The sequence below is a fragment of the Homo sapiens genome, chromosome 3, assembly GCF_000001405.40.
Source record: "Homo sapiens chromosome 3, GRCh38.p14 Primary Assembly".
Taxonomy (NCBI): domain Eukaryota; kingdom Metazoa; phylum Chordata; class Mammalia; order Primates; family Hominidae; genus Homo; species Homo sapiens.
In genome coordinates, this window is record NC_000003.12 from 167,286,318 (window position 1) to 167,300,760 (window position 14,443).

Here is a 14,443-nt window from a genome sequence, read left to right on the forward strand (position 1 = left end):
ACATGGTAAGGCATACTTTTTTCTACTTTCTATAGGGATCCATGGAATGCTTTAGACAATAGAATGGCATGATACAATATATGGTTTACATTTATGGAAAGTACGATTCACTTCCTATAAACTATAAATATCAATACTGTTATGAGTAAAAACAATTCACTCACTGACTATAAATAGTAGAATATAATGGAAATGAATTATAGCAACATGATTTTGGGAGAAGTAAAAGTGAAAATGGGAGACAAATGAGAGATGAAGACAAATGGCTTGGACTAATCTTGAATAGTGAAGGTAAAAGTGTTTAGTGTTGGGCTTGATTTTAGAGCTGAAATCAGCAGAATCTAAAAATAAATAGGATACACTGAGTGAGAGGCAAGATGACTCCCAAATTTCAGACTTAATCAATGTTTGGATACAGTTGCCATTTCCAGAGGCAGGAAGATGGGCTAGGGGAGGATTAAGTTGTGGCAGGGATGAGAAGAATGAATAAACTTGCTGCTAAACACACATAGCTACGATGTTTTTACATTCATGACTTCTTAATTGTTATGGAAATGGGAATTCCTCTATATACTGGCATCAGTGCAGAATACAAGATTTCTATAACTTGTGACAGAGCCAGGCAATTTTTAGTTTATTTTAGACCATTGTCTCTGTTCAGAAAGCCATTTCCTACCTTCTCTAACTGGTAAATATTATAACTTTTTAAAGACTCAACTGAATGTTACCTAGTCTCTAATATCTTGCCAATCTACACTTTTCAATAGCAAAGTCATTATGTTATCATCTCTATTTCTAAAAAAAAACCTTGCTTATATATCTAACTATTATAGCTGATAGGACATATTATCATTAATTACCTATTAAGGTCCAAAAGTAAATTACTCATAGGTCTTTTTATAAAACTTATATGTGGTATAATTTACATATTCACACACACATTTTATATATATCAAAAAATTTATAGCACTTTTCTCAAAATATGGTATTCAGACTGTTTATATTAGCATAACACGGAGTTGTTGTTGTTCAGAAAATAAATGCAATTTCTTAGGCATTACCTCAGCCTTAATTAATCAGAATCCCTAAGAGTCAGATCCAGAAATCTGCATTGCAAGAGGTTTCCCAGGTGATTATGCCCACAGCGACTTTTGAGAAAATTTTATACTGGACTCTAAGCTCTTAAGCAATAGAGATAAGAGTTTGTTTTGTATAAACAGTGTCTGGCAGTAGTGCTTGAACAAATGTTTTTTATAGCAAATTATTGATTTTGACTGATCTGTCCAAATTGATACTTAAAAGCATTTGACTATGGATTTGTAGATTTGTCTTTGTAATAAATTTCTCATAGCACGTATATGAATTTGTTTTCATCAATATACAGTGACTTAAAGCAGTTCTTTCTGATTGCCTCAGAGGGAAGCAACCAGAATTTTTGAAGTTGCTGTCGACTTTGATGTAAAAATAGGCATCTAAGTATAGAGCCAAAAAAATCATAAATACATTGTTTTCTCCCTAAAAATTTTATATCTGACAGATTCTCAACATAAATGCACATGGAAAGGATCTAAGATAGCCAGAGAGTTTTAATCATAGATTTTAGGGCAAGAGAGACATATATATCTTATATAGAGAGGCAAATCATATGCAATTAAATTTCTGCCTTGAAGATAGCCTTTAAACCAAGGCAAATAGCCCCCTTTCTCAGGTATTCCTCCTAAACTGTGAGCTCAATAAGATCAGGGAATATTACTTACATATCTCTTTTATCCTCGGGGCCAATCCAAGTGCTAATATCCTCAAAATATATGCTGAATTACCTGAATTCATTAGTTGTCTACTACAACTTCCTACTTTGGCATAGAGCAAACCCACTATAGCTGGTATAATGGGATAACAGTAATGTCCTAATAATAGTAGTGATTTTAATGATGTTATATGCTCTGTATACACTCATTAGGAAAGTATCAAAATAGATATTCAGTATGTCAAAAGAATTATTCTATGGAAAATCTTATAATTACTTTGTTTAGAGAATAGAGGTAATGAACTGAAATGAAGATTCCAGGGTCAATGCATACAGAATTATATTTAGAACTAAGCTTTCTCAATCCCAGCAAGAAACAGCATCTTAACCTAAGTCAATCATTTCACATATGGCTCTGTCTGATCATAATATATATCAAGTGAAAGAGTATGCAAAATCTGGTATAAACATACTGCTTCCTGAGTGAGTAATGAAACCATGTATTTTATAAGGATTGTTCAAAATATGCCATATCCTTAACTACATTTTGCAAATATTATTTCCTAATACATTGTTATAGAAAATAACTAAGATGATAATTCATGCCTTTGGAAAAATGAGCTCACTTGTTTTTATGCTTTGGTTTTGGAAGAAAAGTCGAGGACATTTAGTTAAAATGAATGAATTTAAATTACAGAACTTCAAAAACTAAATTGCAGGTGCCTACTAAACTGCTAAAAAAGCAAACTACTAAAGGAAGTAAGCTGCCAACATGGCACTGCTGCCTTTGAGTCAATGTTACCCATCTTTTGCTGTTTTCTACTTGATGATGGACTCTGAGCACCCTGCAGAACACCCAAGACAATTGCATTATCAGCATATTCACTTAAGCTATGGTCTGGAATCCATTCTCTGTCTTCTGAAATTGAAAAACAGTAAGATAACATAAAGTTTGAAAAGAAGAAAATCCATTTTATTAGTTTTATATTTATGTCTTACTGGACAATATTTAACTGAATAAAGAATATTTACAACAGTGATATATATTATGAAATACAAAATCTTATTACAAAATAAAAATCATTAAATTAATATATTTTAATTTTAAAAATTTAAAAAGTATATAACAATGCAACATAAAGTATAATTGTTTCTACATGAATAAACACATTTGAATACATAAGATGCCTAAGAATATAGATGACACCAAGATCTAGCTTTCAAAATGGAAACTAAAAAATCATGAAGAGAAGATGGCCAAATAGGAACAGCTCCAGTCTGCAGCTCCCAGTGATAATGATGTAGAAGGCAGGTGATTTCTGCATTTCCAACTGAGGTACATCTCATTGGGACTGGTTCATCTCATTGGGACTGGTTGTACAGTGGGTGCAGCCCAAGGAGGGCAAGCCAAAGCAGGGTGTGGTGTCACCTTACCCAGGAAGGAAAGGAACTCCCTCTCCTAGCCAAGGGAAGCCATTAGGGACTGTAACTTGCACTCTGGCTCGGATACTGTGCTTTTCCCGTGGTCTTCGCAACCCTCAGACCAGGAGATCCCCTCCGGTGCCTACACCACCAGGGACCTTGGTTTCCAGCACGAAACTGGGTGGCCACTTGAGCAGACACCGAGCTAGCCACAGGAGTTTATTTCTCATACCCGAGTGGCACCTGGAACATGAGTGAGACAGAAGCCAGGGGGGTGAAGCCAGGGAGCCAAGTGGTCTGGCTCATCGGTTCCCACCCTCATGGAGTCCAGCAAGCTAAGATCCACTGGCTGGAAAGTCTCACTGCCAGCACAGCAGTCTGAGCTCAACCTGGGATGCTCGAGCTTGGTGAAGGGAGAGGTGTCTGCCATTACTGAGGCTTGAGAGGGTGGTTTTATCCTCACAGTGTAAACAAAGCTGCTGGGAAGTTCAAACTGGGCAGAGTCCACTACAGCTCAGCAAAGCCACCATGGCCAGATTGCCTTCTCAAGAGTCCCTCCCTGAAAAAAAGGCAGAAGCCCCAGCCACAGACTTATAGATAAAACCTCTACCTCCCCGGGACAGAGCACCTAGGGGAAGGGGCGGTTGTAGGTGCAGCTTCAGCAGACTTAAACATCCCTGCCTGGCAGCTCTGAAGAGAACAGCAGATCTCCCAGCACAGCGTCTGAGCTCTGATAAGGATCAGACTGCCTCCTCAAGTGTATCCTGATTGGGAGACAACTCCCAGCAGAGGCCGACAGACACCTCTTACAGGAGAGCTCTGGCTGGCATCTGGTGGGTGCCTCACTGGGACAAAGCTTCCAGAGGAAGGAACAGGCAGCAATCTTTGCTGTTCTGCAGCCTCCGCTGGTGATACCCAGGCAAACAGGGTCTAGAGTGGAACTCCAGCAAACACCAGCAGACATGCAGCAGAGGAGCTGGACTGTTAGAAGGAAAACTAACAAACAGAAAGGAATAGTAACAACATCAACAAAAAAAACATCCACTCAGAGACCCCATCTGAAGGTCATCGACTTCAAAGACCAAAGGTAGATAAATTCACGAAGATGGGGAGAAACCAGTGCAGAAGGGCTGAAAATTCCAAAAACCTGAATGCCTCCTCTCCTCCAAAGGATCACAACTCCTCACCACCAAGGGAACAAAACTGGACGGAGAATGAGTTTGACGAATTGACAGAAGTAGGCTTCAGAAGGTGGGTAATAACAAACTCCTCTGAGCTAAAGGACCAAGTTCTAACCCAATGCAAGGAAGCTAAGAACCTTGAGAAAAGGTTAGTCAAATTGCTAACTGGAATAAATAGTTTAGAGAAGAACATAAATGACCTGCTGGAGCAGAAAAACACAGCACAAGAACTTCATGAAGCATACACAAGTGTCAATAGCTGAATAGATCAAGCGGAAGAAAGTATATCAGAGATTAAAGATCAACTCAATGAAATAAAGCGGAAAGACAAGGTTAGAGAAAAAAGAGTGAAAGAAACGAACAAAGCCTCCAAGAAATATGGGACTGTGTGAAAAGACCAAATCTACGTTTTATTGGTGTACCTCAAAGTGACGGGGAGAATGGAACCAAGTTGGGAAACACTCTTCAGGATATTATCCAAGAGAACTTCCCCAACCTACCAAGACAGGCCAACATTCAAATTCAGGAAACACAGAGAACACCAAAAAGATATTCCTTTAGAAGAGCAACCCCATGACACATAATCCTCAGATTCACCAAGGTTTAAATGAAGGAAAAAATGTTAAGGGCAGCCAGAGAGAAAGGTTGGGTTACCGACAAAGGGAGGCCCATCAGACTAACAGCAGATCTCTCAGCAGATACCCTACAAGCAGAAGAGAGTGGGGATCAATATTCACATACTTAAAGAAAAGAATTTTCAACCCAGAATTTTACATCCAGCCAAACTAAGCTTCATAAGCAAAAGAGAAATAAAATCATTTACAGACAAGCAAATGCTGAGAGATCTTGTCACCACCAGGCCTGCCTTACAAGAGCTTCTGAAGGAAGCACTAAATATGGAAAGGAACAAATGGTACCAGACACTGCAAAAACCTACCAAATTGTAAAGACCATTGACACTATGAAGAAACTGCATCCACTAACGGGCAAAATAAACAGCTAGCATCATAATGGCAGGATCACATTCACACATAACAATATTAACCTTAAATGTAAATGGGCTAAATGCCCCAATTAAAAGACACAGACTCACAAATTGGATAAAGATTCAAGACCCATCAGTGTGCTGTATTCAGGAGACCCATCTCACGTGCAAAGACACACATAGGCTCAAAACGAAAGAAAGCAGGAAATTTTACCAACCAAATGGAAAGCAGAAAAAAAGCAGGGGTTGCAATCCTAGTCTGTAATAAAACAGACTTTAAACCAACAAAGATCAAAAGAGACGAAGAAGCCATTACATAATGGTAAAGGGATCAATGCAACAAGAAGAGTTAACTATCCTAAATATGTATGCACCCAACACAGGAGCACCCAGATTCATAAAGCAAGTTCTTGGAGACTACAAAGAGATGTAGACTCCTATACAATAATAGTGGGAGACTTTAACACCCCACTATCAATATTAGACAGATCAATGAGACAGAAAATTAACAAGGATATCCAGGACTTGAACTCAGCTCTGGACCAAGTGGACTTAATAGACATCTACAGAACTCTCCACCCCAAATCAACAGGATATACATTCTTCCCAGCATCACATCACACTTATTCTAAAATTGACCACATAATTGGAAGTAAAACCCTCCTCAGCAAATGCAAAAGAATGAAAAGCATAACAGTCTCTCAGACCACAGTGCAATCAAATTAGGAATCAGGATTAAGAAACTCACTCAAAACTGCACGACTACATGAAAACTGAACAACCTGCTCCTGAATGACTCTGGGTAAATAACAAAATGAAGGCAGTAATGAAGATGTTCTTTGAAACCAATGAGAACAAAGACATAATGTACCAGAATCTCTGGGACACATTTAATGCAGTGTGTAGAGGGAAATATATAGTACTAAATGTCCTCAAGAGAAAGCTGGAAAGATCTAAAATTGACATGCTAACATCACAATTAAAAGAATTAGAAAAGCAAGAGCAAACAAATGCAAAAGCTAGCAGAAGACAAGAAATAACTAAGATCAGAGCAGAACTGAAGGAAATAGAGACACAAAAAACCCTTCAAAAAACCAATGAATCCAGGAGCTGTTTATTTGAAAAGACCAACAAAGTAGATAGACCACTAGCCAAACTAATAAAGAAGAAAAGAGAGAAGAATCAAATAGATGCAATAAAAATGGCAAAGGGGATATCACCACCGATCCCACAGACATACAAACTACCATCAGAGAATACTATAAACACCTCTATGCAAATAAAGTAGAAAATCTAGAAGAAATGGATAAATTCCTGGACACATACACCCTCCCAAGATTAAACCAGGAAGAAGTTGAATCCCTGAATAGACCAAAAACAAATTCTGAAATTGAGGCAGCAATTAATAGCCTACCAACCAAAAAAAGTCCAGGACCAGATGTATTCATAGCCGAATTCTACCAGAGGTACAAAGAGGAGCTGGTACCATTCCTTCTGAAACTATTCCAAACAATAGAAAAAGAGGGACGCCTCCCTAACCTATTGTATGAGGCCAGCATCATCCTGATACCAAAACCTGGCAGAGACAAAACAAAAAAAGAAAATTTCAGGCCAATATCCCTGATGAATATCTATGCGAAAATCCTCAATAATACTGGCAAACCAAATCCAGTAGCACATCAAAAAGTTTATCCACAATCAAGTCGGCTTCATCCCTGGATGCAAGGCTGGTTCAACAAACGCAAATCAATAAATGTAATCCATCACATAAACAGAACAAATGACAAAAAACATATGATTATCTTAACAGATGCAGAAAAGGCCTTCAACAAAATTCAACAGCACTTCATGCTAAAATCTCTCAATAAAACTAGCTATTGATGAAACATATCTCAAAATAATAAGAGATATTTATGACAAACCCACAGCCAATATCATATGGAATGGGCAAAACCTGGAAACATTCCCTTTGAAAACCAGCAAAAGACAAGGATGCCCTCTGTCATCACTCCTATTCAACATAGTATTGGAAGTTCTGGCCAGGGCAATCAGGCAAGAGAAAGAAATTAAGAGTATTCAATTAGGAAAAGAGGAAGTCAAATTGTCTCTGTTTGCAGATGACATGATTGTATATTTAGAAAACCCCATTGTCTCAGCCCAAACCTCCTTAAGCTGATAAGCAACTTCAGCAAAGTCTCAGGATACAAAATCAATGTGCAAAAATCACAAGCATTCCTATACACCTATAACAGACAAACAGAGAGCCAAATAAAGAGTGAGCTCCCATTCACAATTACTACAAAGAGAATAAAATACCTAGGAATACAAGTTACAAGGGATGTGAAGAACCTCTTCAAGGAGAACTACAAACCACTGCTCAAGGAAATAAGAGAGGACACAAACAAATGGAAAAACATTTCATGCTCATGGATTGGAAGAATCAATATCATGAAAATTGTCCTACTGCTGAAAGTAATTTATAGATTCAATCCTATCCCCATCAAGTTAACATTAACTTCTTCACAGGATTGGAAAAAATTTACTTTAAATTTCATATGGAAACAAAAAAGAGCCCGCATGGCCAAGACAACCCTAAGCAAAAAGAACAAAGCTGGAGGCATCACACTACTTCACTTTAAAGTATACTACAAGGCTACAGTAACCCAAAACAGCATTGTACTGGTACCAAAACAGATATATAGACCAATGGAACAGAACAGAGCCCTCAGAAATTATGCCACACATCTATAGCCATCTGATCTTTGACAGACATGGCAAAAACAACTAAAAGAAAAGGACTCCCTATTTAATAAATGGTGTTGGGAAAACTGGCTAGCCATAGGCATAAAACTGAAACTGGATCCCTTCCTTACACCTTATACAAAAATTAACTCAAGATAGGTTAAAGATTTAAATGTAAGAACGAAAACCATAAAAACCCTAGAAGAAAACCTGGCAATACCATTCAGGACATAGGCATGGGCAAAGGCTTCATGACTAAAACACGAAAAGCAATGGCAACAAAAGCCAAAATAGACAAATGGGATCTAATTAAACTAAAGGGCTTCTGCACAGCAAAAGAAACTATCATCAGAGTGAACAGACAACCTACAGAATGGAAGAAAATTTTGGCAATCCATCCATTGGACAAAGGGCTAATATTCAGAATCTAAAAGGAACTTAAATTTACAAGAAAAAAACAAACAACCCCATCCAAAAGTAGGCAAAGGATATGACAGACACTTCTCAAAAGAAGACATTTATGCAGCCAACAAACAAACAAACAAAAAGCTCATCATCACTGGTCATTAGAGAAATGCATATCAAAACCACAATGAGATACCATCTTACGCCAGTTAGAATGGTGATCATTAAAAATTCAGGAAACAACAGATGCTGGAGAGGATGTGGAGAAAGAGGAATCCTTTTACACTGTTGGTGGGAGTGTAAATTAGTTCAACCATTGTGGAAAACAGTGTGGTAATTCCTCAAGGATCTAGAACTAGAAATACCATTTGACCCAGCAATCCCATTACTGGGTATATACCTAAAGGATTATAAATCATTATATTATAAAGACACATGCACACATATGTTTATTGCAGCACTGTTCACAATAGCAGACTTGGAAGCAACCCAAATGCCCATCAATGATAGACTGGATAAAGAAAGTGTGGTACATATACACCATGGAATATTATATAGCCATAAAAAAGGATGAGTTCATGTCCTTTGCAGAGACATGGATGACACTGGAAACCATCATTCTCAGCAAACTATCACAAGAACAGAAAACCAAACACCACATGTTCCCACTCATAAGTGGGAGTTGAACAATGAGAACACATGGACACATCAAACACTGGGGCCTGTTGGGGGGTGGTGGGATAAGGGAGGGATAGCATTAGGAGAAATCCCTAATGTAGTGATGGGTTGATGGATGCAGCAAACCACCATGGCACGTGTATACCTATGTAACAAACCTGCATGTTCTGCATATGTACCCAGAACTTAAAGTGAAATTTTAAAAAAAAATCATGAAGAAACAAAAAATTGGAATATATATATATATATATATATATATATATATATATATATATATATATAAAAAAAACTAGTAAGGAGATTAAATCTGTTAACAAAAATTTGCCAATAATGAAAAGTCCTGGACCTAATTGCATTAGTGGTGAGTTCTATCACACATTTGAAGAAATAACACCAGTCCTCAAACTTTTCCAAAAGATTGAAGAGGAGGGACATCAACTCGTTGATACTAATGCCAAATAAAGACACTACAAGTAAAGAAAACATCAGAACAATATCATTTATAATCAGTGATGTAAAAATCTTCAAAGTACAAGCAAACCAAATTCGGCAGCATATTAAAAACGGTTATACATCATGATCAAATAAAATTTATTTCTGAAATGTAAGGATGGTTCGGCATATGAAAATCCATCAGTGTAATACACTACATTTATAGAATGAAAGAAAAAAACACATAATCATCTCAATTTATGCAGAAAAAGTATTTGACAAAATCCAACACACTTTTATGATAAGAACAACCAACAAACTAGGAATAAAAGGGAAATGCCTCTACACAATAAAAGTAATATGCTAATAACCCACAGCAAACATCAAACTCAATGGTGAAAAATAGAACATTTCTAAGATCTAGAGCAAGGCAAGGATGCCTGCTTTTGCTACTTCTATTCAATATAAGTAGCCAGAACAGACAAGAAAAAGAAATAAAAGACATTTGAATTAGAAAGGAAGAAGTAAAATTATCTTTGTTCACAGATGGTGTGATCTTATATGTAGAAAACACTAAAGATTCCACAAAAATATGTTAGAATAAATGAAATCAGCAAAGTAGTAGGATACAAAGTCAATAGGCAAATACCAGTTGTATTTCTATATGCTAACAATGAACAATCGGAAAAGGAAATTAAAGAAACAATTCCATTCACAACAGCCTAAAAAAGAAACAAACTTAGAAATCAACATAACCAAGGAGGTGGAAGACTTATGCAATGAAAACTATAAAACATTGCTGAAAGAAATTAAAGAAGCCACACATAAAAAGAAACATATCTCATGTTCATGAACTGGAAGAGTTAATAGTGGTAAGGTGCCAATGTTACCCAAAGTGATCTACACATTCAATATAATCCCTATCAAAAGCTCAATGACATTTTTCGTAGAAATAAAAAAACCCATCATAAAATTCACATGCAATCACCAGGGACCCTGAATAGCCAAAACAATATTAAAAACAAGAGCAAAGCTGGAAGACTCACACTTTCTGATTTCAAAACTTATTACAAAGATACTGTAATCAAAACAGTGTGATACCAGTAAAAAGACAGACATACAGACCAATGAAATGGGATAAACAACCCAGAAATATATCCTCCCTCACATATACAATCAAATTATAATGATTTTTTAAAAAGTATCCTTATGGTATAAAACTTATTTTGAAATATGTATATATTGTGGAATTGCTAAATCAAGTTAATTAACATATGTATTATCTCACCAATCATTTTTTTGTGTGTGTGGTGAGAACACTTAAAATTCACTCTCTCAGCCAAATAATTTTTGACAAGGGTGCCTAGACCATTCAATGGGGGAAAGAAAGGTCTTTTCAACAAATGGTGCTGGAAAACTTGATATCCATACGCAAAATAATGAATCTGGACCTTTGATACCATGTACAAAAATAAACTCAAATCGATCAAAGACCTATATGTAAAACCTAAAACTACAAATACCTTAGAAGAAAGTATAGGCCCAGGACATTGGCTTTGGAAATGAATTCTTAAATATGACACTGAAGGAACAGGCAAGAGCAGCCACAAAAGTAGACAAATTGGACTTAATAAAAACTGGAAAAAAACTGCATCCAAAGACACTATCAACAGAGTAAAAGGGCAATCCACAGAATGGGAGGAAATAGTTGCAAATAATATATCTTAAGAAGAAGCAGTATCCAGAATATAATAAGGAACTCCTATAACTCAACAATGAAAAAACAAATAACCCAATTAAAATAAGAGCTAAGGAATTGAATAGACATTTCTCCAAAGAGTATATACAAATTACTTATTAAGCACATGAAAAGATGCTTAACATTATTAATCATTAGGAAAATGCAAATCTAAGCTACAATATTGTACCACCTCAGACCCATGAGGATGACTATTCTCCCCCCGACCCCACCAAAAAAATAAAAGAACAAGTATTGTCAAGAATATGTAATAATCGGAACATTTGTGCCCTGTTGGCAGTAATGTAAAACACCAACCAGATGCTGGCACCATACTACTTATACAGCTTGCAGAACTCTAAGCCAAATAAACTTCTTTTATTTATAAATTATGTAGCCTTGGTTATTCCTTTACAGCAACACTAAAAGGTCTAAAATAACCACACTTCTAAATGCTAAAAAATCTTTCCTAGTTTCATTGTAAGTCATAGTTTCTCACATTCTGATAGTAACCTTAAATGTAAATATATGGCAACTAATACAAGGTTAATAATTTTAGGCTGGCAAGAAGAAAATGATTTTATCCATTGAACAGAATTGCTCAGTATTTCCTAAGATGAGAACAGACTGTTTTAGAAAAATGAGCTAGAAATTTACCTGCAAGTGTAATCCTAGTACTGGAATTGTTGCATTCTAAACGATGAGAAGGAAGTAAGTTGAGTCTTTCATTTGTATCAAAAATAAAGAATCTCTCAAGTCCTTGATATTGTTTTGTTATAGGCTTACTTCTGCAGGCTATTTCTTGTAACAACTAAGAAACAAAATATTCAACAATATTATTTTCTAACTCATTAACACAAACAAGCATATTCATTTATCAGATACCTACTTGGTATCTGATATACTTGGCACAAATTCTTCCCTCATCAAGTTTAGTTTCTAACAGTGGAGACAAATAATAAAACAACATTTATATATAGGAAGTTCTAACTACAGTTACAGTAATTCTCTGAAAGTTGATACTAATCCAAAGAGGACAGAAGTTCATGAAATAAAATAAACTTTTTTTCTCTTTCTTCCTTTATTTTCATCCCTCAGTGTCTTTGCACATAAATTATCCTGGAATACAGAGTTACTTTCACACGCAGTGGCTTTGAACTAGTGTCTTTGTCTATATATAAAATAATTTCAAAACTGAAGGTGAAATACCAATGGGAACTATCTGCCCTGACAATGGTCATGGAAAAAAAAATGTAAGTTAACAAAACACTCATCATGAAGCAAATATAAAGTAGGAAACTGTGGCAAGAGGAAGATAAGTAATTTATGACGTTTATATAGCTAGAAACTAGCAGACCTAGGCTTTGAATATAGGTCTGCCTGATTTGAAACCTAGACTTATCCTGCCACCCTATTAATTCATTTTTACATGTTCTTATTCTAGGATTGAATATAACTGGGATTTTAAAAAATGTGAATCCAGTAGAAACAGATTAGGAATTCATTAGTAAGAGCTCTAGATGAGGTTATAGTATAATCAGAGTAGCTATCAGTTTTTAATAATTCCGTAATGAATCTAACTAATGCCCAAATATAGTCTGTTCCCATAAATCAATGTAAAGCAACTTGCTTTAATTTTTTATAAATTTATAAATTATATAAATGAGATCATATTAAAGAACAAAGCTAGTGACCAATAAAGCATGTCATTCAAAGACAAATCGAAATCAAAATTCTCAGCACATATCCCCTGGCCCTCCCAGACACCAATAAACAATTACAGAATTCTTTCCACTCTACTGAAGCTTATATTTGAATTATGCAATCGCAAATCTGGAAGAGTTTTGAATGTCTTGGTTTACAGATAAAAATCCTAAAATAGTTATGTTTTGTCTACTTTTAGCACAAACTTACAAAGTTAACTATTGATAGTTTTAGAGCCAGAACAAAGGACCCCTAACTAGTCCATTGTTTTCCTAACTACTGCCCTACAAATTAGTACTTAATTCCGTAGGAAGTACTACCTTACACAGAAATCATTTTCTGAAAACTGAAGTACAAAATGAACAATTTTATACTCAATTTGGATGGAGCACCATAGATTTCTAAGTCATTTCTTCTGATGGAATGGCTTCTACTAGGACAGAAAAAGAGGGAAATAGGTTCAGGTATAGTTCTTAGGAATGAAAAGAAAGTAGATTCAACCACTTTATTCAGAAGCAGGAACTCAGTCTGCAAACTGTGAAGTACCAATTATGATGGCCACTTTAGAAAGCTCTATTTTACAGCTCCCCTCCACCTGCTTTTCACCTTTTGTTTTGCAACTCTTCAAATTCTCTTGTGATCCAACAACTTAATTATTTATAGAGATTGGCCATCTCCTATAATAAGATGCTCAGGGAGAACCTTTGGCACTCAGCTTAAGTCCTGTCTTACCAGTGGTGGAAAATTTCTGTGAAACTATTTACACTTTTTTATTCCTCAGATATAATTACCTAGGAATGGATTAAAACATTATTTTATTTATAAAAGGGGCAATCCTGGAGTCAGAAACCCATTAGTTTGTTGAGAATTCTTTTAAAATCCTATGACAGATTATTCCTGAAAAAACTTCAAATCTCTCAATCCAATATCCCCCATGAGGAAAAGGCAAGCTTTACCTAACACTATTTTATTACTGTCCAGGACTACCTTTAGTCTCACCTAATTGAAAAAAAACAATAACCATGTAAGCCATTTTACAACAGTCACTGGTTTTTGATTATGTCAGCAGCTTTGAGCTGCTGAGAACTTTATGGATCCTATGCACTTAAACACTCATTCAGATTGTTTCCTGAACTAGCTCTGTCAGAACATATTTTACACTGAGCAATATTTTATACTGAGCAATGGATAGTCTTAAATTGAATAAAACAAGAATGTATACCAGCCACACACACATTCCCATCTCCCCCACCAACCCTTTTTTTTTTTTTTTACGAGATAAGAGTCTCACCCTGTCACCCAGGCTGGAGTGCAATGGCGCGACCTCAGCTCACTATAACCTCCGCCTCCCGGGTTCAATCGATTCTCCTGCCTCAGCCTCCTGAGTAGTTGGGTAGTTGGGATTACAG

At 36.1% G+C, this 14,443-nt stretch overlaps 1 protein-coding gene across 20 annotated transcripts in view; it reads right to left on the reverse strand.

The window, feature by feature from the left end:
* ZBBX (zinc finger B-box domain containing) overlaps nt 1-14,443 on the reverse strand; it is a 229,485-nt gene that overhangs the window by 107,916 nt on the left and 107,126 nt on the right. For 14 of the 20 annotated variants that reach the window (XR_924174.3, XR_924173.2, XM_024453753.2 and 11 more), the window contains 2 exons: nt 11,988-12,141; nt 2,550-2,666 (listed from right to left, as the gene is read on the reverse strand). Coding sequence is in view for 18 of the 20 variants with exons in the window: in XM_024453753.2 (XP_024309521.1) it covers nt 2,550-2,666; nt 11,988-12,141 (271 nt within the window). In the remaining 2 variants the exon portion in view is untranslated. The remainder of the gene's footprint in view (nt 1-2,549; nt 2,667-11,987; nt 12,142-14,443) is intronic. The other 6 variants (NM_001377489.1, NM_001199202.2, NM_024687.4 and 3 more) reach the window with 1 other exon arrangement.